We start from the raw sequence: 27,941 nt of genomic DNA, 5'->3' as shown, positions 1-27,941 counted from the left end.
AAATCACCTTTAAGCTCTGCAGAATCCTGAAGGACTTTGTGCTCTATTGACTAGATGTTTAAGTATTCCCTATATAGTATTCAGTGGACCTTTTCAAAAATGTCTTTTGCAACATCTTTGAAAGTGAAAGTTTTAACGTATGATACTCTTAATCAGAGTACACGTTTATTCCCAAATATTCTGTTCTTTCTTTGGGTATAGCATGCAACAGAGTTTACTTGTATTTAGAAGATCAAGAGGTGGGGGTATTGGCAGGATAAATGATTTGTCCAGGGACAACTGATGTGTCACTGTAGAGATAAAACAGAACTAGGCTGCATTCCAGCAGCTTCTGGCCCGTATAACAGTTTTGAGAACTTTCCAATCACTTTAGGAAAACAAGGTACTTAGAAATTTATAAAGACTTTCTTAATAAAAGAAATCACTTATTTTGGAAATTGTGAAATTAATCATTCTGCAGCATTTAAGAAGCACTTTGATGTGTTCTGGTAATTAGTATTTACTGCCAGACAAATGTCTCTTGGGCATTTTAATTAATGGGTAGCTTGGCCAAATGAGCTTCTGATGGTAAACCTTCATAAGGGTTTATTTTTATGTTTCTCAAGAATAGCTGTCTCTTCAAAGCTCTTTAATTAGACAAGGTTTAGCAACTAAAACATATTATTAGAATAATTAGGCCTTGGGTTAAGAGAAATAGGGGGTCAGAGGAGCAGGTACTGTTAGAAAATGGCCTCTTAAAACATAGCATTCTACCTCTGATGGATGGCCAGTTCTTTCACAGCTTCTGTTAAGTTACTCTCCCTAGTTTGGACTTCGTGTTGTTTAAAGTTCATAGCAGACCTCACCGGAAGCCTAAACACACCCGAGTGGGAGCTTACTTATCCCCACCTCTGACCTCCCAGGGAAAGCTTGATTCTAGTCCTTTTAACTGCTAAGTGGAAGACTTCTTATTTTCTCCTTTTTCTTCTATTAAATCGATAATCTTGGCTATAACAATGACTTGTATTTTTGAGGGAGATGCTTCAAAAGCCTTGTGTGTGGCGAACAAAAATTACAATAATTCCTTTGAGGATCTTTCTTAATGATTTATATTATCTACATATAAGATATGTTCTTAAAGTGACTACAGTATTTGCATTCCAGAATGTTATATTTCTTGTGGTCAGAATGCAGTTTGAATTATTTTGCAATCTGCTCTGTAGATGGGCTGGCATCTAACTCCCCTTCTTCAACCTTCTCCCCTACCATTTCTTGCCACAAGCGCTCAGTCTTGGCAGTTATTGCTAGTAAATATGTGCTACCCTGAACTTCCTCTTTGTGGTGAAGGAAAGATACACCTGACTGGTCCTGTGAGGGAGTGAGATGTCACCAAAACAATTGTGTATTCTACCAAAACTGTTGATAAATCACAATATATTTATCTATATTCCCTCATTTTTCACTTTCCTACTGTCTCAGGATGCTTAGGATGGCAAATATGTCCTTTTCCCAGCTAGATCAGTTGATTAAAGGACAGTGCTCATGAGACTATTAGACATTTCTAACAGAACAACTGTATCATAGCTGACATTTCTAATCCCACTAGCTGTCATGACCTATATGTGTTGTTGGTTTGATAAAGAACTGAGTCAAAGATATGTATGTTGTTGGTTTGGTATAAACCTACTGCTATTATTAGAAAGTTCTTAAAGAACCTGCTAATCCATCAAATCATTTTTGAATATTGAGGATAGCCTGCTTTATAGTATTATGATTTTATCACATGTAAATTCTTTTGATATACCTTAGTTAACAACATGGCCAATGAAATGATTTTATTTGAGTTGGTAGAAACTTCACTTGGTTTTTGATTGATGTTATCTGTAAAAATTATCATTTTGTAAGAACCATTTGGTGAGCCCCATAAATGCAGATATAAAGATGTAGGTATATCGCTATGCACTCCAGAGAACAGTTACCGAGTAAGTGTGTTTTTATGTCAAATCGAAGAACTTTGAGAAAGCAGAAAGATAGTAACCTAAACAGAGTGCTCTGTCGAGGAGTTTTCTCCCCCTAGCAGTGACGAATTTCTGTCCACCCTTTCCTTAAATGATTTAATATTGGGGCCTTGCTTTTTTACCTCCTCTTTAACACAGGAAATATTTCTGATACTTATCTTCATGTGTGTGTTTGCTCATGTCTGTGCAGTCTTCTGCAGTGAGGATATGAAAAGAAAGGTAGTGAGTTCTATGACCCTTGAAAAACACCAGAACTCTCTTTTCCTAATGAAAGTACAAGTGTGTTCTTATGCATACTTTTGTATAACAGGATTTATACTTAAAATAGTTTGGATACTTATTACTAATGAATTTTGATAGATGCAAACCAGGACTATCAATGTGTTGTTCTCTCATTGCTCATTTTGCCTCTTTAACTCACTCGAGAGGGCCCCTTGTAGCCCTCCTTAAGTCTACCTTTTGAAATTACACAAGTGTCCAAAATGAAAACTGACTGTATTCTTCTTCAACACAGACCACCTGGTGGCCCATGGTAGAATGGCAGAAAAGGAGGCACGTCGGAAGTTCAAACAGATCGTCACAGCTGTCTATTTTTGTCACTGTCGGAACATTGTTCATCGTGATTTAAAAGCTGAAAATTTACTTCTGGATGCCAATCTGAATATCAAAATAGCAGGTGAGAACTGTACTGAGGATGTCAGATAGGGACAAAGGAGCTTTTCCTTGGGGTTCTATAAGCAAGGGATTATCTGTTTCCATCTCTTCAGAAAGAACTATTGTGAAAGTAAGGACAATTTAAGATGAAAAAAAAAATAGCCTGAAAATTGATAAACTTTAAAAGTACTTCCCCTCCCCTGCCCTTTTTTTTTTTTTTTCGAGACTGAGTCTCATTGTCGCCCAGGCTGGAGTGCAGTGGTGCAGTCTTGACTCACTGCAGCCTCCATCTCCCAGGTTCAAGCGATTCTCCTGCCTCAGCCTCCCAAGTAGCTAGGATTACAGGTGCGCATCACCACGCCTGGCTAATTTTTATACTTTTAGTAGAGTTGGGGTTTTGCCATGTTGGGCAGGCTGGTCTTGAACTCCTGACCTCAAGTGATCTGCCTGCCTTGGTCTCCCAAAGTGCTGGGATTACAGGCGTGAGCCACCACACCCGGCCTGTTTATTTTTAATGTAGTATCAGCTGGAACTAGGCTGGGGAGAAAGAAGGGAAAGGTGATATTTAAAATACTATTACTTTGGTTAACGGGTCCTTTTTTACATAAGAAATAAAATATGTAATAAAGTGGAAAGGAAAACTACTAAAATTGTATACCCTCTCACCTTCACTTGAGAAGGTTGATTTATGTCACTGCTGACACAGAGCATACTTATTCTAAAGGCTGTAATTGTATGATAATTTAGGAAAAATAGATCTTAGAGTGGCTTATAGGCAGTCCAGCTTTTTGTCTTCTCAAATTTTACTAGTCTGCTTATCTGACAGTGCCTTGAGAGCACTTTTCACTGCCTTGATCTGTTCATGCTTAATTTTAGTAAACTATCAGCATTTTGCCTAATGAATACAGACTCACCATTTACTAATAAAATTAAGTGACTGCAATCTATAGAGAAACTGTAAATATGAAAATAAGCCATTTATGTTTGCCGACACTTTCCGGTATAGCATCGTGTATCCCCGGTCTCCCAGATAAAAGGAAGGACATCTCATATAGAAAACTAAAATATAGCTAGAATGTAATTGTCTAGAAAAGGCAAGGTATAAAGCAGTTCTAAGGATTTTCTTCCTTAGTAGAGGTGGGATTTGAGAGTTTGGATTTTTATCATAGGTCAAAGTTACCTAAGGGTACCTTTGCAGGGTCACAATTCTTCTGAGAGTTGCTTTTGTGTAGATAAGCCTGTTCACTTTTACATCCTGGAGCATCACCTAGCTTTTTATATATCTGAAACTGACAGCTACACTTTTGTTTAGAACTTTCATATCATTTATAAGTTCTTTCACTCCTGCACTAGCTTATTACAGAGTACACAGGAATTAAAGGCTTTCTTTATCTTATATAAAATCATGTTTTTCCTTTGCTCTCATGTCGGTTTTATTTTCTCCAAAGCTCTATAGATACTGGTAGTTCCCACAAAGGTGTGTGGCATGGAAAAGCCTGGCAATTTCAAACCTTCTTTTGTAATTATTTGTTGTAGCTTCAATTAAATTAATACTAATAATACCTACTAAACTTCACAACCCTTAAAACTGTAATAAAAGATTGATTAGTGTCTTATTATTACTATAACAAATTACCACAAACTTAATGACTTGGAAAAACACAGATTTGTTAGCCTGTAGTTCTGGAGGTCAGAAGTCCAAGCTGGGTCTCACAGGGTGAAAGTTAAAACAGCAGCAAGGGCTGTTCCTCCTGGAGGCTCTGAAGGAAAAATGTGTCCTTGCCTTTTTTAGCTTCTAAAGGTCACCTGCATTCTTTAGCTCAGCCCCTTCCTTCCTTCACTCCAACCTGTGGCTTCCATTGTCACATCTCCTACTCCTAATTCCGACCCTCCTGCTTCCCTCTTGCAAGGACCTTTGTCATTACATTGGGCTGTCTCAGATAATCCAGGATCATCTCTCTCCCACCCCCACCTTTTTTTGTTTTTGTTTTCGAGACAGGGCCTCATTCTGTTGCCCAGGCAGGAGGGCAGTGGCGTGATCTCAGCTCACTGCAACCTCAACTTCCTGAGTATCTGGAACTACAGGTGCGCGCTTCTATGCCCAGCTAACTTTTGTATTTTTAGTAGAGATGGGGTTTTACCATGTTGGCCGTGCTGGTCTCGAACTCCTGGTCTCCAGCGATCCACCCACCTTGGCCTCCCAAAGTGCTGGGAGCCACCGTGTCTGTCCTCATCTCCCCATTTTAAGATCTTTAATCATGTTAATACAAGTCCTTTTTACCATGTATGGTAACACATTCACAAGTATGGGGGATTGGGATATAGATGTATTTGGGGGCCATTATTCAACATGCCACAGATGTCACTGTAAGGCTCTTTGGATTATAGATTAGGGTAGTGAATTAAAAGAAGGCCCTCTGGACACGCACCACCCACTCTGCACTGACCAGCCCACCTGGATAGCAGAGGACACCCCCAGCCCCCACCAAGCATTGAAGACATAGTTTATTTCCTCATATCCTTTCTCCTTGGGTGTAGTTGGGGTGGGGAAGGAGGGAAGACTGGGGTCATCTCCATTCCTTGGGCTCTGTGCCCGAGTCCATGGTGCACCACTGTGCTGCGAGCTGTGGGGCCTGCTGCAGTGGGAGTGTGTGGAACACCTTGACCAAAGGGGAGCTTTGTCTTGTGTGTTTTGAAAAAGGCTTAATGAAGAGAATGTTGTTCATTCTTAGTAGTATAGTTTGCAATTCTTAATGACAAATAGTAAGTTTCAGTAGAAAACAAAACAAAACAAAAAGAAGGCCTTCTTTATATTCTCTAGTTTTATTTTCCGTCCGCTGACCCAAGATTAAAAATTTTCTTAATGCTCCCTTGGTTCTTGATTTTGAATTTAGGATGATTTTGATTTAGTTAAAGAAATTTCTTTTTTTTCTTTTTTTTTTTTTGAGATGGAGTCTCACACTGTTGCCCAGGCTGGAGTGCAGTGGCATGATCTCCGCTCACTGCAACCTCTGCCTCCCCCAGGTTCAAGCGATTCTCCTACCTCAGCCTCCCGTGTAGCTGGGATTACAGGCATGCGCCACCACGTTCTGCTAATTTTTTGTATTTTTAGCAGAGACGAGTTTTACTATGCTGGCCAGGCTAGTCTTGAACTCCTGACCTCAGGAGTTCAAGATCCTGATCCACCCGCCTCAGCCTCCCAAAGTGCTGGGATTATAGGCGTGAGCCACCACGCCCGGCTGTTAAGGAAATTTTATATCCTTTAGTTTTTACATTGAGAAACTCAGAGTAAAAACAGAGATTATTGATAATTGAAGTTGGAAACTCTACTGAAATATTTGGTAAGGAGATTTTTAAAGACTTTTCTGTTGTTGTTGTTGTTAATAGTTAAAACAAATTCAAGGAGTCACAATGAGAGTGTCTACCTGCTGATATATAATTACAGACTCCGGGGTGCTGGCAGCCAGCCTTGGGCTCTCTCTGTGTTAACACATATACTTTGGCAAGATTTTTAAGTTCATTAACCCAAAGCGTACATTTTTATTATTTGTTTTAAGAGCAAAACAGAAAAATAAATGAGCACCTCTAGTTTTGCGGCCTGCTACAATACCTAACATTAGCTTTGCTCATGCAGTCTTTCTCTTATATGCCATCGTTACTCAGTTTCTCAGTCATTGCCTGAACCTCCTTTCTTGCACATAAATTAAATAGAATTATCATTCTCACCTCCCAGTTCTTTTTTGAACTTAATGGACTAGTGGGAGAAATGCTTCTAGTTGAAGCCAACTAGAACATGACTAATTTTGGAGAGGTAGGTTGGATGTTTTTGACAGGATAAGGTCAGATAGGTAACGAAATCAACTTTAATTCTAAAAGCCAAAAGTAACTTTCAGATTCCTGATCTTTTCAATGGCCTCCCTTTTGGTAAAGTATCTTAAATGTCAGTAAGAAGAAACTACTATATATGAAAGAAACATGCAAGAGAGAAAAAGGGTTTTTTGGTTTTATTTTAAGAAGTTAGTCTTGGCTGGGCGCAGTGGCTCATGCCTGTAATCCCAGCACTTTGGGAGGCCAAGGTGGGTGGATCACCTGAGGTCAGGAGTTTGAGACCAGCCTGGCCAACGTGGTGAAAACCGGTCTCTACAAAAGTTCACAAATTAGCTGGGCATGATGGCGGGTGCCTGTAATCCCAGCTACTCACGAGGCTGAGGCAGAAGAATCACTTGAACCCAGGAGGCAGAGGTTGCAGTGAGCTGAGATCACGCCATTGCACTCCAACCTGGGTGAGAGAGCGAGACTCCATCTCAAAAAAAAAAAAAAAAAAAAAAAAAAAGAGAAAAGAAAAGGAGAAATTAGTCGTAAGCAGCTCATCTTTAAAATAATCGTATATGTTATAGTACCAAAATAACTTGGAACTAATAAAACTCAGATTAGGAAGTATAAAAGATTCATGTTTTCTGTATGCCATTGTTTAAGTGATTTTAATGAAAATAATCATGCATCCAGTTTCGTGTAGAAGATGAATAAATTGGTCTGTGGATATTTGTGTTTACATTAATTTATTTTTACATTTTGTATTAATGTGGTGATTTACATTTGATACTGTTTGTTTGTTTTGTAGAGACAGAATCTCACTATGTTGCCTAGGCTGGTCTCAAACTCCTGGCCTCAAGCGATTCTCCTGCCTTGGCCTCATAAAGTGCTGGGATTATAGGTGTGAGCCACCATGCCCGCCCCTTCCCCCTTCTTTTTTAAGAAACTGGGTTACCTTCTGTTGACCAGGCTGCAGTGGCATAATCATGGCTCACTGCAACCTCAGCCTCCTGGGCTCAAGTGATCCTCCTGCCTCAGCCTCCCAAGTAGCTGGGACTACAGGCATGTTCCACCACACCTCGCTAATTTTAAACATTTTTTGTCACTATGTTCCTCAGCCTGGTCTCAAACTCTTGGCCTCAACCAGTCCTCCCTCCTTAACCTCCCAAAGTGTTAGAATTATGGGCATGAGCCACCGTGCCTGGCCTACATTTGATATTTGATACTGTAAAAAGCTAGCTATCACAACTGTCCATACTAGTTCTCTTCGAGAGAATAAGTGTTCCCTGGATAGATAGATATTAGTTATAGATATTATAAGTTATAATTATAGTATAAGTTATATCTTCAGTCATAAATACTATAAGATTCAGCTGAGCAAGGTGGCATGCATCTGTAGTCCCAGCTAGTTGAGATCAAGGCTAAGGCAGGAGTCTTACTTGGACTTAGGAGTTTGAGTCTAGCCTCATAGTGATACCTTGTCTACTGAAAAAAAAAAAAGATTGAACCATTGTTCCACTGTTTATGATTTTTTTTGTGCTTAATTCTTATTTATGAATTTTTGTTCTAGTTCTGTTTCTAGAGAGAATAAAGCCCAGGTGAATAACTTTGTTTTCTTTCTGGTTTTAGAATTATTAGTAACAAATCCGTGTTCTTAATGGCAGTAGCAAACCTGTCTTCTGTAGAATTTTTAAAGAGATGTTTCTGTCATTAGTAATACAGAAGAAGCCTTGATCATTTTCAGAATAAAGAATTTTACGACAGGGAGAGGTGGCTCATGCCCGTAATCTCAGCACTTTGTGAAGCCGAAGTGGGAAGATCACTTGAGGCCAGGATTTTGAGACCTGGGGCAACATAGTGAGATTCCATCTCTTTTTTATTAAGAAGAAAAAAGAAAAAAAAAGAATTTTATTTCTAAAGGCAGTTACCAAGTCTAGAACTAAGAATTTGTGGAGGTAATCTAGAATCTTACTTGTTAACGAAGCCTCCTTGCATAATGGCACAGAAGAGAAAAAAGAAGCGTGAAACGTGACTCCAGCCCTAAAGAACTGAGGCTATATGGGCAGCAAACATTAGATCTTTGAAAAGTTGGTAACACCAAAATTATGCTTTGCATATATATAATGTACTTCACAAAGCATTTTTACATGTATCACCTAATTTTATTGGCATGCAAATATATCTTATTAAAAAAGTAAAATCTCTTCATCTTCTGGCACTTTTAACTCTCCAAAACTTCTGAATTTCTTGTAAAGAGCACCCAGGCAAGGTATAGAGAACCCCAATGCTGGGAAAAGAGTAGGATTCTTGGCCTCCGACTTTTAACTTTTCTTGCCTGAGATGTGTAAGGATCCACAGAAGAGCAGTTGAAGGACTGACGAGGCACAACACAGCTCACTCAGCATGGAGCCGGCATCGCTGGATGATAGTATCCTTAACAGCTACCAAATTATAGTTGGATACAATAGAAGAGATGTTACAAGGCATGTCATGACTCATTATCACATTAATTGTACAGTCTAATTAGCATAGGAGTTCAGAGGATGATAGAAGTACTGTAGTTTGTAAGATTCCACAAGATTGTCAGTTCCACAAGGACTGTAACCATGTCCTGTTTATTGTCACACTCCCACTGGCTCATACATGCCTGTTCTGTAGCAGGTGCTCCCCAGCTTTGTCGAACTGAAGTTCAGGCGGTACTGATAAAGGACATAAATATTGTATTGAGGACATGGCATTTGAGGTGCGTCCAGTGTCATGTGATTGGATGATCAGGTGTAGAGGAGAGAATTCCAGCAAGTGTTAATAAGGCACCTGTCAGTTGCAGACACTGATACAGGCACGGGGGTACAGCAGTCAGTAAGATAACCCCTTGGAACTTATATTCTAATGGGGATAAATAGACAGTAAACACAAATAAGCTCTCATAGGGCTGTGACAAAGATAAACTCGAGTAACATGGCAGAATGATTTGTGCGAGAGGTACTGCTTTTAGCCAGGATCTTCAAAACATTCCACGCAGAAAGAAGAACAATGCAAAGGCCTGAGAGAGATAAATTCAACATAGAAGAAAGGGGTAGAAGAAAGTCCAGCATGGCTGGAGATAATGAATAAAATGGGGATTGGAAGAAGTTGGGGTGAGAGAGATGGCAAAGGCCAGTTGCACGTGGTTAGGATGTGGGATTTCATTTAGGTTCCAGTGGGCACTGAGTTGGAGCAGCGTGGGCAGCAGTAGAATGCACAAGGTCTATTTGAAAAAAAAAAAAAAAGGGTGAGCAGCTCAGTGGAAGGGAAGGCTAAAGGAGAGGAGTCTCCCCGAGAAGGCAGGAGCAGTAGATGTTTATATTAGATTGAAATCATTTGAATATAAGATATAAGGCTTAATTAATCCAATTCAGTATGGAGACGGCAAAAAGCTGGAAGCTGAGGGAAGGGAAGGGCCTCCTGGTAATAGGAAGGCCAGTTAAAGGCTGTGAATGGTAAAATCCCGCATGAGGGTGATGGTGGCAGTAAACATGCAAAGGAAGAAAACGGCAACAAATTCAAGAGAGAAAGCAAGCGAGAATTTCTAGGACCAGATAACCAATCATATGTCTTGACCAGGAAGAGGGAATTTTGAAAGATATGTTTAGAAATAAAGAAATGAAATTTTCTTACTGATGGATTATATTAAGCTATCAAAAAAATGGTGTTTTGAAAATGGTTAATGTATTGCTATTCGAAAGTAATTTTAATGTCCTTGTCCCCAAAGATTAAGTAGCAAGGTGTCTATATTTAAAATAGATTGCCTGAGAAAAAACTGAAATGTAGCTGGCTTACTCCCTGAAGAAAAGTTCTTTCAAATGCTTAGACGTTATAAGAATGTTCTGAAAATTGTGGAAACATTTTTTTTAAACCTAAGGAAGTTGGAAACTTTTGTCTTTAAATGTCGACTCCCAGAATGGTCTCCATGAGATAGTTTCCACTCTCGTGTTATTGTTTTAGTTGGCAATCAGTAGACAGCAAAGATCAGAAATGCAACTATAGAAAGGCCAATATCCTGGAAAGAATTTTCAGAGCATGGATTTAAGGTACCATGGAAAATTTTGACCTTAATGCAGTGAGAGCTAGACCATTTTATTATTTTTTAGGGAGAAATTAAAACATTTCCTAACTCAATTGACCTTTCACCCTTAGTATGAATATACTGAGATACCATCATATAGAAAAGAAAGGTTGGAAACCTTGGATTTTTGAGTACCCTTCCACAGTGTGTTGACTGACAGTGCCTCTGACTGGTCACAGGAAGTAGTTATGCAATACTCATTATATCAATCTAAATTGTATTTCATGATTCTAATGCCCTCTTTTTAGGCTATCATTCATTGCACCTCCCAGGTTGACATGTCCAGTGAATTGAGACCAGAGAGGCCTTTGTGTTTGTCCTGAATTCATAATAGAGTCTAGGAATTTTAATAGCTAGACCTGTGTTCTTGCCCTGAAATGGCATATGACCATTACCAAGAAGCGGCTCTAAATAACCTTCCTGCACGTTGACCCTTGGGAAAAGAAAATTTGAAATATTATCTCTCTTGAATCCTATTCCTGAGACTAGAACTTTACAAATTTGTATTCTACTTAATGTCATATCTATATTTTTTAATATTAAGATTATTAACTTAGTTTAACACAGAAAAAACGTTGATGTTCCAGGAAGGTGCACCCTATTTAGCCTACGGTTTCTCGTATATCTTGGAACACTGAAGTGTAACACCTGAGGCTGTGTAAACAGAGGCCAGCCTGAGAAGCTGAGAATCAAGAATTTGATGCTCAACCATAGATTCCTCTTACTCACACTTCTAGTTTGTGCAGAGTGACTTCTCTATTACTTTTCCTCAGCCTCAAGGATTTTCATGCCATTATCTATTAATTGCACGTCACTTATTTTGGGGATAATTAGAAAAAGGGGGAATGAGAGGTTGGGAATAGAAAAAGGGAGAGAAGCAAAGGGCAGAAAAGAAATGGAAGCTTTTGCTTTGAGGTCTTGTGGGGGTGGGGGTGGAAAAAAAAGTGTAGGAGAAGCCTGAGCCCAAAAGCTTGCCTCCTCCCTCTACAGGGAAAGGGAGTTGAGCGGAGTGTAAGAGGGTGGATGGCATGCGCTTCTGACCTACCAAAGCATCTGGAAATTTCAGACTGCTCTTTGTCTCTGAGACTGTGTTGGGCACAGCATTGAATAAAGTGTGGATCAATAAGTATGTGAAGTGCTGGATATGTTAATTCACTGGATTTAATCATTCCTCAGTGTATACATGTATCATAACATGTACGATGTACCCTGTAAATATATACAACTATTGTAATTTGCCCATTAAAATAAAACAAAATATAAATAAAACATGAGCAGTGATGATTAAAAGCCAAAGTTTCATCTTAATCTGTATAATATCTAGAACAAAGAAAAATAATTTTATCGGCATTTTATTGAAGCTGCAGAAAATGACAGCTTTGAAAAATCTCAAGCAACGTATGGTTTAAGGAAATTAGGTGTACACTTAAGCTATAGTTTGTTTGTTTCTCCCTTTCCTTTCCTTTCCTTTCCTTTCCTTTCCTTTCCTTTCCTTCCTTCTTCTTCCTTCTTTCCTTCCTCTCTTGTCCTCTCCTTTTCTTTCTTTCGTTCTTTCTCTCTCGCTCTCTTTCCTCTCTCTCTCTCTCTCTTTCCCTTCCTCCTTTCCTTCCTTGCCTCCCTCCCTCCCTTCCTGTCGCTCAGACTGGAGTGCAGTGGTGCAGTCATAGCTCACTGTAACCTTGAACTCATGGGCTCAGGGGATCCTCCCACCTCAGCCTCCCAAGTAGCTGGGACTACAGGTGTTTTGCCACCATGCCTGGCGAATTTTTAAATTTTTTGTGGAGATGGGACTCGTTTTGCTGCTCAGGCTGGTCCTGAACTTTTGAGCTCAAGAGATCTTCTCACCCCACCTACCTAACTGTTGGGATTACAAGCATGAGCTACTGTGCCCAGCCTCTTACCTGTAGTTTCTAGTTTAAGAAGTTTTAGAAGAACATTGATATTCTATCCATTTAGAGTAGTGTTTTACTTTTATTAGTGGCTATAGAAACTATAAGAACTATAGAAAAGTTATAGAAACTTACAGTTCTTATAGGAACTCTAAGAACGTTTATATAAGTCTGCCCAAGGTCATGTGTCCTCATGAGGATCGTAAGCTCCTCAAATGCAAGTTGATGTTGGGAAGGGACTAACGAATCACCCAGAGTGCTCCTTCACTCTGATTCTGAGGGAGTCTTTATTGTGTTGTGTGAAGCGTGTTGGAAGCCAGGTGTGGTCGCACGCACCTGTAGTCCCAGCTACTCAAGAGGCTGAGATGGGAGGGTCGCTTGAGCCGCAGAGGTTGAAGCTGCAGTAAGCTATGATTACACCATTGCTCTCTAGCCTAGGCGACAGAGCGAGACCCTGTCTCTTAAAAAAAACAATAAAATTTTTTACTTTTTGTAGAGATGAGGTCTCGCTCTGTCGCCTAGTTTGGTCTTGAACTCCTGAGCTCAAGTGATCTTCCTGCCTCAGCCTCCCAAAGTGCTAGGATTATAGGCATGAGACACTGTGCCTGACCTAAAAAAAAAATTTTTTTTTTTTTTTGGCTCACACCTGTAATCCTAGCACTTTGGGAGGCCGAGGCGGGCGGATCACGAGGTCAGGAGATCGAGACCATCCTGGCTAACACGGTGAAACCCCGTCTCTACTAAAAATACAAAAAATTAGCCGGGCGTGGTGGCAGGCACCTGTAGTCCCAGCTACTCAGGAGGCTGAGGCAGGAGAATGGCGTGAACCCGGGAGGCAAAGCTTGCAGTGAGCTGAGATTGCGCCACTGCACTCCAGCCTGGGCGACAGAGCAAGACTCTGTCTCAAAAAAAAAAAAAAAATTTGATGTGATATTATAGAAATTTAAAATTAAAGCAATGTCAAAAAGAGTGAGGCTGACTTTTTAGGCAAGCCTTTGCAAGGTGGCAGAATATTAGTAAAGGTCCCCATTATATCAGAATCTGGTTGTCATTTATGAGTTCTGAAATATACCTTATCAGTTCTCTTAAAATCATAAGAGAGTGAGTATAATATTTGTATCAGTTTTCTTAGCATCAAAAAGTACAGTTTGCTAGTGGTAGGCATGGGTATTTCATCTAGTCTTTTTAAAATATCCTGATTTGAGTGGTCTTTGGCTCGTCTTTGCGGAGGTTATACACAGACCATCCTTAATTTACCATCTCAAGTAGTATACAGGATCTTTTCCCAGCCAGTGACTTCTGAATCCTCAGAGATTTTCAGTGTTCCAAGAGATTCATGTCATACAAAGTGATAATGACTTTTCTATTTTTTAGAAGTTAATAAATGAAATAATTACTTAGGTCTTTCCGCCCTTCTTAAATGGAATAGTTTGAGAGCCTCTGAGTATAAATCGAGTCTACCTGCTGGCAGGGCGCTAATGAGCATGCTTATGACTTGGTCATTCCATTTATTGTTCAAGTAGTTGGTTATCATAATAGCTTTGACCAGGGTACAGTTTTTCATTGTATTTTATTAAGTTTACATCTATTATGGATCACTGGATTATATAAAGCATAAAGAACACTAATGTTGAAATTCAAATTGATGAGGATAAAAATGATAATTCTGTAATGCCTCAAGACAACCTTCACCAAATTCATGATTTGTCTTTGTTTGGCCATGGTTCTTACACAGCACATCAAATTGTTTCTAGGGCCTCAAGAAACAAAGTTTAAAAATGTTACATTACATACATACACACAAAATATGTATATACCACATGTATATACATTTTTTACACACATATCCGTATCTATATCTATCTATCTATATTATATCCAGTTTGATTTATTGGGAATAAAGACTATCTACATTCATAGTATATTATTTGCAAAGAAGTGCTAATAAGTAATGACCCAATATTTGTTAATCCATTTCATTATTTAAAAGCAAGGCATGAAAATAATTCATTTAATCAAGTCTGGTTTTTAGGTTCAAACATGTAAGTGTTCCAAATCCTAGGTCATGAAAAGTATTCATCTGTTTTGTGTATTATAATCTCAGTATATTTGTGGCTTCCAAAGCCAGGTGCCGTGGTTCATGCTTGTAATCCCAGCACTTTGGGAGGCCAAGGCGGGAGGATCCCTGCATACCAGCCTGGGCAACATAATAAGACCCCATCTCTATCCCACCGCCTGCCCCCCCGCCCCATCAAAAAGAAAAAATACACATACACACACACACACACACACACACACACACACACACATATATGGCTTCCTACTAAACATGATATATCAATTTTAAATAAATACTTTTTCTTGAATAATTGAAATAAATAGTGTGGGTCACTTGTATGATGGGATAATATGAATTTGTCTTAAAATTCATAGTGAACTTTTAAATTAATTTTTAATGTACTAATGTAAAATAAAATGTCTTTTAGCTAAAGTCTCTTCTGTATCATAAATCATAGAAAAATGACAAAATTATTTTTAAAATTTCTTTCCCGGGAGGTTTTTAAGATAATACATTCCTTTGAAAGGAGTTTGTGAGTCAGAAAAGCTGGAAAATAAAAAGGTAACTGTACTGATTTCTTTACATTCTAATCCAAGTATACCATGGTTTTCTTGATCAGATTGAGTGAGTCTCTGAACTGTTGATAGAACCTTCTTCAGGAAAGCCCCATTTCTCTAGAATATACCAATTGCCCCTCTGGAACTTTTCCTTAAAACTCATCCAGTGGTTATAATTATATAGTTACATGTGTGCTTGTTTCATGTGTATCTCCCCCACTGGACTAATCTGCTACATGAGGGCAGGGACCATGTCTGTCTTGTTCACCTTGTACTGAGAATACATTTGTGGTCCATCAAAAAATTGAGGAGGCAGGCCGGGCGTGGTGGCTCATGCTTGTAATCCCAGCACTTTGGGACCTGGGCGGATTACCTGAGGTCAGGAGTTCGAGACCAGCCTGGCCAACATGGTGAAACCTTGTCTCTACTAAAAATACAAAAATCAGCCAGCTGTGGTGGCACATGCCTGTAGTCCCAGCTACTTGGGAGGCTGAAACAGGAGAATTGCTTGAACCCAGGAGGTGGAGGCTGCAGTGACCCAAAATGGTGGCATTGCACTCTAGCCTGGGCGACAGAGTGAGACTCCATCTCAAAAAAAAAAAAAAAAAAAATTGAGAAGGGGAGTACTTTATTCCCATTATCATATTTTCACATCACCTTTCAGTTGGGTTACTTTTCAGATGTCTGCTCTCATTTGAAGTTTTTTTTTGTTTGTTTGTTTCCTATTAGCTTTAATCTAAGATAGTATTTTGTTACCTACTCTTAATTTCTAGGTAACACCTTAGAGCTTCTTAAGTGACAATCCTATCTTCTTTTCTCTAAAAGTAGGCTTCTGCTTATCAGACCATATGTCTTAGTTTTTAATTTGGAAAAAGGTTTTTGTTTTGTTTTTTTGTTTGTGGTTTTTTGTTTATTTGTTTGTTTTTTTGAGACACAGTCTCACTGTGTCACCCAGGCTGGAGTGCAGTGGCCCGATCTCTGCCCACTGCAACCTCTGCCTCCTGGGTTCAAGTGATTCAAGAGAATTTAAGGGGACACTGATTCATCCTGTTCTATAAAAGGCACACTAAAATTTTGTATACCATGCTCACCTATCATTATTAGAAACTTACCTGATTAAATGATTAGGCTTTTATTGTTCTTGTTGATATTCTTTACAATCATGACTATGATATACTCATTAATGTTTTTAAGAATTCCGATGAGTACTGTTTGCATGTGTTGTAGAAAGTGTCTCATTATAATCCTTTCCTTTATACATCTAGTCAGTACTGAGTTTGATGCAAAGATCCTATATTGAGGAGGTGTTTGGGGATTTATATGAGAAGGGTTGGATGTTGCTATCTAAAATAAATAGAGTGGAGAAGACTGGTTTATTACTTCATTTAAAATAGCTGAGTTCAGCTATTGTACCTGCTAAGGTGTTTTGGGATAAAAATACATAAGTCACTCATTGGAAATGCCAATATAATGCTGATCCAAATCTCCCCCCAAATAAGATGATTACTTGATTTTTTTTTTTTCCTTGAAGGAATTTTCTCTTGTGTATATATGCTAAGGCTGTGAGTCAGGAGTTTTTGGCATTACTTCTCTATTAGCTCCTAGTGAGGAAGTTCAGCCAGGGGTTGAAGTGATTACTAAATCCTGAGGACTTCCCAATATCTGTTTTTAAGAGTGAACTAATATTGTGACTTCTGAGAACTTTGAAACTCATCCTTTGTCACTACCACAATTCTGAGATCCACACACTTGACTTTTGTTTTGTTCAATTTCAAATAAAGCCCTTAGGTCATATGGTTTGGCCAGTGACATTATATAGGAAAAGCAGATTTAATTCCTTATTAGCGTCATGTTCCATTTTAATAGTCAGGAGAACATTCTAAATCCTATTTATATACTGTTCTTACACCAGTCTTGATCTTTGGTTCTTTGCATCATTTCTAGCAGCAACATTTCTAATTATTAGAAATTTCTAATAATTGGAAATTAATCAAGGACCTAATTATTTCTGTCTTCATCTTTGGGTCTCTAATTGCAAATGCAGTATTGGGATTGTGAATCCTCAGAAGCTTTTAGCTTTGAAAACATGAAGGATCTTGTCACAGTGATTTTTGGTGAGGTTGTTCATTTAGGGTAAGTAAATATCTTCCCACTTCACTTTTTCCCCTCTGCTCCCTGCTTCCAAGCTGTTTACTTATACAGCAAGGAAGTGAAGCACAAGTTACCCTTGGAAAGCAGGGTTGTCCGTCGCTCAAAGCTGTACTGTATTGCCTTAGAGACACTGAGAACACTAGTACTGGCTGGAAAGTTGTGCCTAATCTGTTTACATCTGCTTTGGATTGTTCTTTGGTTAGCCAAAAAAGAAGTCAAGTTCATTGCTCTAAAGTGGTAGACCAAATAAGAAAATTGCCTGTTGCAGTTGCCCTGATTTATAAATTAATGCCGCCCGTTTTGCTCTTTTCCCTTACCACATAGACATATCCAGTTGATGATATACTTATTTTTAGGGATATCAGTTATCACTACCTTATATATCCCCAGGCTCCTGATCTCACCTCCAACAAAGAATTCCAAGTCTCAAAATTGATAGTAAGCTCTGGTATTTAAGCCTTCCTAGAAGACAGTCATATGGTTCAAATTAAAGTCTCCTGCTCTGTATTAAGAGAAAGGGATTTAAGTTGCCATTTCAGCCTGCGGACAAATGCTAACCAACTAGGGTGTTGGGGGTTGGAAAGCAACTTAACAAATTATATTGAGAGCCACTTGCGAGTGGAGAAATAAATGACCATGGCCACATGAAGAGACCAACTTCGCTCCACTCATATGGCTTCTGTTGTGTAGGTGTGCGTATCCATCTTAACCAGCTTCTTCTGTTTCTCCCTGTTCTTCCGTAACTCTTTAGAATATTCATCATTTTAATGTTGACTCTGTAGGTCATACATCTTTCCCATTGCCAGTAAATAAGCAGTAAGGGATATCAAGTATTTTATCGGCATCAGTACCTGAGAATTACATAAAACTAACTGCTCAGTGTTTTTGTTCTTATTGTTCAAGATGATGTCTTAAAGTCTTTATACTTAAAATAAAAATTTTAGTTATAGAATAATGTAAGCATACTATAGAAAATTTAAACAGCAACAAAACCGTTTTAAATATTCAAGCTGCAATCCCACCTCTGAAACCATTGTTAACATTTTGAATGCATTTTCTTTTGTCTTTTTACTATGCATGTTTTTCATACTTATAATCAGTGTATTTACAATTTTATATTTCCCATGTTGCTCCATATAGTCATCATTTTTTTTTTTTGAGACAGAGTCTGGCTCTGTCTTGCCCAGGCTGGAGTTCAGTGCCACCATCTCGGGTCACTGCAGCCTCCGCCTCCCGGGTTCAAGCAGTTCTCCTGTCTCAGCCTCCCAAGTAGCTGGGACTACAGGCATGTGCCACCACACCCAGCTAATTTTGTATTTTTAGTAGAGATGGTGTTTCACCGTGTTGACCAGGCTGGTCTCGAACTCCTGACCTCAGGTGATCCACCTGCCTCGGCCTCCCAAAGTGCTGGGATTACAGGCATGAGCCACTGCACCTGGCCTCATCATTTTTAATGAGTGCACATCAAGTAGATGTACCATAATTTACCTGATCTACCCCATATTGTTTTTGTTTTGTTTTGTTTTGTTTTAAAAGACAGGGTTTCGCTCTGTCACCCAGGTTGGAGTGCAGTGGCATGATCATGGTTCACTGCACCTTGAACTCCTGGGCTCCAGGGATCCTCTGGCCTCAGCCTCCCAAGTAGCTGGAACTACAGGTGTGCGCCGCTTCACCAGGCACCATATTGTTTTATGATCTCACCAATTCTTGGTATTAGCACAATCCTCACTTTTTCTTTGGCATTTATTACTGCATTCTAAAACTTCAAAGTGTGTTTACTTAACCTTTTGAACGTACAGGGAATCCTTTCTTTGCCTTAAGTTTCTGTGTTTTTTTTGTTGTTGTTGTTCTTGTTTTTCACTTACATTGAAGTTGTCATTCTTCTGGATTTTTTTTCCTTTATATTTCACCAGCATTTGGCCTGCTAGCACTCTTCATCTTGAGCCATGTGAACTAAACTTCAGCTTATGGTAGTCTAGTTTACTTTATGTCTTCTGGAATCCAGCTAGTGGTAATGATCCCAGGCCTTGTCCCTTTCTCTTTCCCAGGCTGACTTGAGCTGGAGCAGTACAGCACTCCGGTGTTCCTTAGAGCGATATGAGCTCTGGAATGGTGAAAGAAGATTGTTACCAAATACAAAGTGCCTGTGGTTTTGGGGAGATGATGAGGCTCTGTGTGTTTACTGGCTGCTTACCTTTGGGATTTGAATAACTTAAAGATTATAATCAGAAAAAAAATAGATTCTTAAAAAAAAATGGGGAGAGTTAAGATTATCTGAAAGATTACTAAAACTATGTCAACTTTCAGTTATACAGGTTTTTAAAAATATTATCTAGGTTTTTTTTTCTTCTTTTCTGGCTATGTTTTTTCATTTGATAGTTTACATATTGAAGGAAAAGAAGGAAAACCTAATTTTTTTTAGTGTTCTTCGTTAACAGCTCTTGTTAGAACTAAGGAAGCAAGTGATATTATAGACAAAAATGAATTTTTAAATTATATGTAGTGTATACTAGCTTTGTCTCTTACTAATATGGGTTACTGAGAAATAGTTATTAGTGTGGGAGTAATACTAATATTTTCAATCATGTGACTAATAAGCATATCACTCACACCTAATTGCCATTTTAGCATTAATGATTATACCTATCACTAAAATATTTACTCTTCCTTTAAAATTATATTTAATGATAACTGGAAACTTCATCATTGTATATATTCTTCCTAGATTACAGTTTTTCTTCATATATGAAAATTGCTATTTTCAACAAAAACTTTAGTTGAGATCTCTGTCTTACCAAGTAGTTCCCAGTTCCTACACTCTGAGTTCTGATACATTCATTTCCTATTTCAAACTGTATCGCTCTTTTCTTCCCTTTCTCCCACCCTCTCTGTTCTTAGTTAGTCAGTGAGTTGTTTTAAGATATTTATTGAGTGCTTTCTCTTCCTGTCAGCACTGTGCTAGGCCCTAGGAAATCAGTGGTGAGAAAAACCTCTGCCCTCAAAAGCCCTAATGATTGTGGAGCTTAGATCCCAGAGCAGTGGTTCCAAGTGGCGAGAAATAGCAGTGGAGGAGGAAAAGGAGCTATTCTTGTCTCTTTTGTCTTTCATTTATTATGAAATATTATGTTTATACATAAATTTTCTTTAAGCATCTGTGTATACTTTAGTGAATCACTAGAAGCAAATACCTGTGTAGTAATTGGCACTCAGGTCAAAAAACTAGAAAATTTCATCAGCCAGGCTGTACACCTCATCACAACCATATCCTTCCCCCAAGAGAAAAAAAATTTTTTTTGTACTTTTGTGTTAATCACTTATGTGCTCTACTTTATAGGTGTTTTTTTTTTTCTTTTAGTAGTTTTGCCACTGATGTAATGCATTACTTAGGAGTTTTGCTCCAAGGGATGCCATTTATACTGAATATAATGTGTAGTGGGTCCATCCTTAAACAATATAGTTTTGCTTGTTTTGAATGATACATGAATAGAATCATATTGATTATATTATTTTTTGTCTGTTTCATCCAACAGTCTGTGAGATTTATCCATGTTGTTTGTATAGCTGCGATTTATTCATTTTTATTTCTATATAGTATTCCATGATATGAATATACCACAAGTTATTTTTCCATTGTACCTATTAATAGCTATTTTAAAAGCAGAAGCCCCTATTGCTTTCAGTTTGGGGCACTTACTAACAGCTGCAACGAACATTCCTAAACATTTATCCTGGTATACTCTTAAACATTAGTGTGTATTCTTAAACATTTAAGAGTGTAAACTGAGAAGTGAAATTGCTGGGTCATATGGTGTGTGTTTTTAGGTTTTATTTGGTAATGCTGAACTGTTTCCAGTAGGTGTGAGAGTTCCACTTGCTCCATGTCCTCTCCAGTGCTTGTTATTATCTACTCTTAAATTTTTGCCCATCTGGCAACTGTGTAATGATTATCTTGTTGTGGTTTTAATTTTTACTGTTTCTCTTTAATAATGAGATTGAGCTTCTTTTTGTGTCTCTTGGCCTTTTTTTGTCAATTGTCAATAGTCTTTTGCTCATTTTTCTACTGGATTCTCTATTGGTCTTATTGATTTATAGGAGTTTGTTTCTTTTTGATAGTCTGGATACAAGTCCTTTGTTTTTTTTGTTTGTTTGTTTTTTGTTTTTTGATGATTGATTGGTTGGTTGGTTGTTGAGATAGGGTCTCACTCCATCACCCAGGCTGCAGTGCAGTGGCGTGATCACAGCCCACAGCAGTCTCGGCTTCCTAGGCTCAGGCAATCCTCTTGCCTCAGCCTCTCGAGTAGCTGGGACCACAGGCATACACCACCATGCCTGGCTAATTTATATTTAGTTTTTGTGAAGACGAGGTCTCCCTGTATTTGCCCAGGCTGGTCTTAAACTACTGAGCTCAAGCAATCCTCCTGTCTTGGCCTCCCAGAATGCTGGGATTACAGGAGTAAGCCACCACGTCCAGCCGAGTCCTTTATTTTATAAGTTACAAATATCCTCCCTCACTTTGTGGTTTCTCACTTTCTGTTTAACGTGTGTATAAATTTTGGCATAATTCTAATGTAACGAAGTTTACCACTTTTCCCTTTATGATTAGCACTTTTTGTTTCTTGTTTGAGAAATTCTTCCATCCCCTGAGGCCGTAAAGATACCTGCTTTTTTTTTTTTTTTTTAAATAAAAACGTGATAGTTTTACCTTTCACATTAGGGCTATAATCCACCTGGAATTAATTTGGGGATAGAGTGTGAGGATGGCAGCCTCTGTAATTTTTTTCCATATGAATAACGAGTTGTTCCTGTGCCACTTTTTGAGAAATTTATCCTTTTCCCATTGATATACAGTGTCTACCATTCTTTTCTATGCATGTTTTTAAAAGAAACTTGACGCAGTATTCCTGAAGCATTATGTGTCTTTGGGAATTAACATAAGCAGAGCAAAGGGTGGCAGTCAATAATAAAATGAAAAACAGTAAACTGTAATAACTAAGGAATTTGCAAGTTTTTTGTTTTTTTGAGACAGTGTTTTGCTCTTGTCACCCAGGCTAGAGTGCAGGGTGCAATTTCGACTCTGGTGCAACCCTCCGCCTCCTGGGTTCAAGCAATTCTCCTGCCTCAGCCTCCCGAGTAGCTGGGATTTCAGGCACCTGCCACCACACCTGGCTAATTTTTTATTTTTAGTAGAGACGGGGTTTTGCCGTGTTGGCCAGGCTGGTCTTAAACTCCTGACCTCAAGTGATCCGCCAGCCTTGGCCTCCCAAAGTTCTGGGATTACAGGTGTGAGCCACTGTGCCTGGCAAATTTTTAAATTTCAATAAAAATAATTATGGGATGTACGTGAACTTAAATATAAACACATACATGATGCTGAAAGCACAATGTGGGGCTGGATTTTGAGGGCACTGAGAACTGGCGTTATAGGCTGCATCTGATTCATACTAATTTTTCTTTAACCTTTATACTTGGGAATGTTACTTTTGAACCTCACGTCTCAGGCATAAAACAAAAATAATGCTCATCTCAATGAGGTAATAAATACAAGGTGCTGTAGCGCAGCACTCAACAGAAGGTCCTTTGAAAAACAACTGTTTAATACTGCAAAGTGCAGCACAAATAGGAAAACTGTTGCACTGGAGAGATGAGTCAAGGACAGTCCAGTTCCAAGTCTTTCTGGGATACATGGCTCCCTCCAGGGCTCTTGCCACTCACCTGCATGGCCACGACGTTCGTTTCTAAGTACTCTGAATATATTTGTATATAACTTAGGATTAGTATCTGTTGGTTGTCATCAATCTTGGTAAGAAATGCCTAATTTTATTCACAGCTTGACATTGTAGATAACTCTGAATGGATCTGGATTATATTTGTAGTCCATTTCTGTGATGTAGCCTGTCTTTACAACAAATAAACAAAAATTCTGAGGGGAAAATGATACCATTTCTCATCGAGAATAATTATGTCATCATTTGTTTTCCCTCAGATCAAAGTTACATAACACTTGGATGAGATTACATGGATGCTGTAAGCCACCTTTTTCTGCTTTTCTGCTCTCTCGGCTTCCTTGTTACATTTTCCTGACTTTCTTCCTTTAGCCGCGCTTTCTCTCTCCTTTTTGCTGCATCCTCTTTCTGTTCTCGCACCTAGGGAATAGGAAGTACCTCTGGGTGTTTTCGAAGCCTTAATTCTCATCCTTCCCTTTTCTCTACTTTTTCTTTCAAAAATATTTTATCCTTTTACTACTATAATTCAGTTTCTCAGAATATCTTCACTTAAATTTCTGATCACCTTCTCAAACTCAGGACATAAAGAAAAAGTAATTTTTTTTCTTCCCAAACCAACTTCTGCTTTCCTTAAGTCTGTCATCTGCTCAGGGCCATATTCTCTACTTCTCCTTCTTTTTCATCCCATATATTCTGTTTGTTATCAAGTACTGTCCGCTCCTTTCAGAACATCTTTTGAATTGTTTTTTTCATTTTCAATATCTCATCTGATCACAGCCTTCAATATTCACCTCACACCTAACCTAATCTTGCTTTCTAGTTTATTTTACCACTTCACCTGCCTGCTCAGAAGTCCTAGCAACTCCTTATTGCCTGTAAGTGTGGCTCTCAAACCTCTTCAGAAAGAACTGTGTTTTACTGGTACCTTTATATTCACACCAAAAGCATAAGTGACAAAAGGAAATACAGATAAGTTGGACCTCATCAACATTTAAAACTTTTGTGCATCAAAGGACATCATCAAGATAATGAAAGTCCACAGAATGGGAGAAAATATTTGCAAATCATATATCTAATAAGAGATTTGTATCCAGAATGTATAAAGAACACTCACAACTCAATAATAAAAAGATAACCAATTTTAAACTGCACAAAAGATTTGAATAGACATTTCTCCAAAGCAGATATACAAATGGCTGAAAAGCACATGAAAAGATGCTCAATATTATTAGCCATCAGGGAAATATAAATGAAAACCACTGTAAGATATCATTTCACATCCACTGGGACAGCTGAATTGACAATAATAAGTAATAATAATAAAGACAATAAGTGTTGGCAAAGATGTGGAGAAATTGGAATCCTTGTACGTTGCTGGTAGGGATGTATAATGGTACGGCCACTTTGGATAGCAGTTTGGATACTTCCTAAAAAGTTAAGCAGAGTTACCATATGACCCAGCAGTTCCACTCCCAGGTATATATCCAAGAGAAATGAAACCATATGGCCACACAGAAACTCACATAAATGTTCATAGCAGCATTATTTTTAGTCGCTGCAAAGTGGAAACAACCTGAATGTTCAACAGATGATGAATGGATAAATAAAATGTGGAATGTCCATACCATGGATGTTATTCAGCAGTAAAATAGACTCAAGTGCTGACATAGGCAACAACATGGATGAACCTCCAAAATATTATGCTCAGTGAAAGAAGCCAGACACTAAAGCTTATATATTGTATGATTCCATTTATGTGAAATGTCCAAAATTGACAAGTCTCATAGAGACAGAAAGTAGAAAGCCTAGGGCTGGGCCATTGGTGAAAGACTTGAAGGGTGTTGGGGAGTAACTCCTAATTAGCACAGGGTTTCTTTTTGGGGTGATGAAAATGTTCTAAAATTTCTTCTTTGGTTTTTTCACTGCCTTTTCCTTACAAGGTGAAAAATGTTCTAAAACTGATTGTGGTCATCGTCGCACAACTCTGTGAATGCGCTAAAAGCCGCTGGGCATTACACTTTCAATGCGTGAATTGTATGGGATATGGAATACAAGAAATATGTTATGGCCAGGTGCAGCGGCTCATGCCTGTAATCCCAGCGCTTCGGAAGGCCGAGGTGGGAGGATCATGTGAGCTCAGGAGTTCGAGACCAGCCTGGGCAACACAGCAAGACCCTGTCTCTATTTTATTCTATGTTTTAAAATTTAAAAATTAAAAAGAAAAAAGAATAACATTTTATAAGAAAATATTTTATGAGAGACTTATAAAAGAGACATTAAGAATATGAAGTAATATATTTCGTATTCCTTATCTCAATAATGCTGTAGGGAAAAAACAATTGAAATAAAAGCAGTAAATGAGTGGAGCATGGAGAGTGTGTCATGAGCCAAAGGTTATAATAAATTCATAATCAAGTTTTTTTGTATCTGAAGTCTAATAAAATTTTTAAATGTGGAGGAAAAAAAAAGGAAAGAAAAAATAGTAATGGTTCACAGGATGAAGTCCAAGGTCTTCATTCTGTCATTTGAAGCTGTATTTTATCTGGCATGATGCTGCTGTGCACTCTTTATTTCTTGCCATATGCCCCTACAAACCCTTTATTGTACCCAGGGCAGTGTCTTGCTTGTCACTTGAACTTAGCGAGTTAATTCTAAGTGTTCTGCCCTTGCTCGTGCTCCCTCCTGACTGCCATTCAGAGCACCCTTTCCACCTTCCTTCATTGCCTCTCCAGATCCTGGCCATTCAACCAAGTTCTGCTTCCTTTGAGCCTTTCCCTAGAACTATGTTTTATGCCTTTGGTTTGTTAGAAGATCTAACACATTGCTATTCCCATTGGAAGAGTTCCATAAATACATGTTACATAAAGAGTGAAGGAAATGGAGGAACTTACTTAGAGACTTATAAAAGAGACATTAAGAATAGGAAGCTTTAGTAAATAATGAAAGATATTGTGAATTAGAGTAGCTCCAGAGCCAAAATAAGATGAAAAAGCCTATTAAATAGAAATGGTTTTCTAGGTTCAAGTTCAGATCAAACTTAAGCTCTAAAGCTTTTCTTGGCTTGGTGCAGTGGCTGTTGCTTGTAATCCCAGCACTTACGAAGGCCTAGTCAGGAGGATCGCTTGAGCCTAGGAGTTTGAGACCAGCCTGGACAACATAGCAAGACCCCCATCACTACAAAAAAATTTTTTTTAAATAGCTAGGCATGGTGGTGTTTGCCTGAAGTCCCAGCTACTTAGGAGGCTGAGGCAGGAAGATGGCTTGAGCCCAGGAGGTAAAGGCTTCAGTGAACTATGATTGTGCCACTGCACTCCCATCTGGGAAACAGAGCAAGACTCCATCTCCAAAAAAAAAGTTTTTCTTTACCTTTTTCTTTGGCATTTCTGACTTAAGCCAGTGAGAATTCTTCCTCATTCTTTTTTACTCATTGCTTGAATTTGTGTTATGAGAATTTTTTTCCTCCAACTTGGATGATCTTTCAATTTTTTCCAGTTGTCTATACATGTAGATAACTGAAAACAGCAAAGCTCTTAGTGATTCTGTTCCATGTCTATCTGTTCCCCACCTCCATTTCCTACCACACACCCCAGCATTCCCCTAGTACATCACTAAACTATCAACAGAACCTAAAATAGACTAGTTTGTTTTAACTGTATTTTTCTTTCCAGTCCTCTTAAAATGTGCAGCAAAATGTCCCCAAAGGCAAGCAGCTAAGAGAATGAAGAGGAGGTATTCTCCCATCACAGTTACTCAGTCCCAGAAGTATTGATTGGAAGGCACTGAATTTTCAAAATGACTTCCAGATTTAGTACATGGTAATAATTTGAGGCTTTCCCACACGGATAATTTAAATGTTCAGAAAATAAGTTATGTTATAGCTGAATGGGCAGCAAATTAGACAGAATTTTAACTTACAAGATGCATAGCAATAGTGAAGATTAATGTGAAATACTAGTAAAGAGCCACTGGTAGGGAAGAGAAGACAGCGATATGCTTTCAATGAAACCGTCAATTTATAATAATATGTATATTGAAAAGGGAGAGTGGATCAGATCCTGTTAGGTTTGGTACGTTAAAGAAAGAATTAGGATACCGCAGGCTCAGTAATTAAAGGAATCTGCCCATAATTGGGGGGTAAAAGGTGTCTTGTAGGCAGGGAATAGCAAGATTTTGCTTGAATGTACACCTTAGAGTTGGGAGTAACAATACTTGGAATGATTATAGAAGACCTCTCGACAGGTTTCTGAGACTAGAGGATTTTGTTTGGTGCATAATAGGAGATGAGAGCAAGCCAGTAGTATTTGGTTGTTGTTGAATCTTACAGAAATCTTGCATTTGGTTATTGGGTCTAGCTGTTGAAGCCAGCTGTTTGGATGTAACATAGTGGAAGCAGGTGCTTCTGCAGATGTGGCTCTCTCTAGTTGTCTGGCTGTAATATATCATTCATTCTCATACACTCATTTCTCATATAAAATCCTTATAACTATTAGCAGTCTAAGCCTGCAGACATTGCTGAAGCTGGTTCCCTTTGATATTGTTTTCTTTGTAACAGTTTCCTGTTTGGTAGATAAAATAACAAGCTCACACTATTAGGTTTGTGCCTTCACCTCCCTGGCAAAGTAACATGCTAGAAAGGTTACTAAACATTAGTGGTTCAAAATGAGAAGTCTGTACATTTTATCTGCTTATAGGCGAATTTAAACTCAACTGGTTTAAATTCATTGCTTAGCCTGTTGCATGCTCCATTGAAAACACAAACAAAAAACTCCATGATTCTTCTAGCCATGATTCTTCTAGAGTTTGTTATCCAGTCATTCCAGTGCCAGAATCCATCAGGCAGAACAGAATCATTCGCATTTCTCCTCTGCACTGGAGAGAAGAGGAAGGCTGATCATGGAAAAGGACCTGGTGAAGGTTTTTTGCAAATCTAAGGATCTTTTTTCTGTCTTTTATTTTTGCAAACCTAAGGATCTTCCTTCTGGATAATTCCCAG

The 27,941-nt window shown here is 38.5% G+C and overlaps 1 protein-coding gene across 20 annotated transcripts in view; it reads left to right on the top strand.

Annotated features, from left to right (window-relative positions):
• SIK3 (SIK family kinase 3) overlaps positions 1 to 27,941 on the top strand; it is a 255,027-nt gene that overhangs the window by 168,537 nt on the left and 58,549 nt on the right. For 17 of the 20 annotated variants that reach the window (XM_017017424.2, XM_047426672.1, XM_005271482.5 and 14 more), the window contains one exon: positions 2,512 to 2,673. In XM_017017424.2, the coding sequence (XP_016872913.1) occupies positions 2,512 to 2,673 (162 nt within the window). Of the gene's footprint in view, positions 1 to 2,511; positions 2,674 to 7,272; positions 8,673 to 8,719; positions 11,860 to 24,888; positions 25,375 to 27,941 lie in introns of those variants that run through there. The other 3 variants (NM_001366687.1, XM_047426676.1, XM_047426675.1) reach the window with 3 other exon arrangements.

This window comes from Homo sapiens, chromosome 11 (genome assembly GCF_000001405.40).
Source record: "Homo sapiens chromosome 11, GRCh38.p14 Primary Assembly".
Classification (NCBI taxonomy): Eukaryota; Metazoa; Chordata; class Mammalia; order Primates; family Hominidae; genus Homo; species Homo sapiens.
Note: the sequence above shows the minus strand (reverse complement) of the source record. Positions and strands in the feature narration are given on the sequence as shown.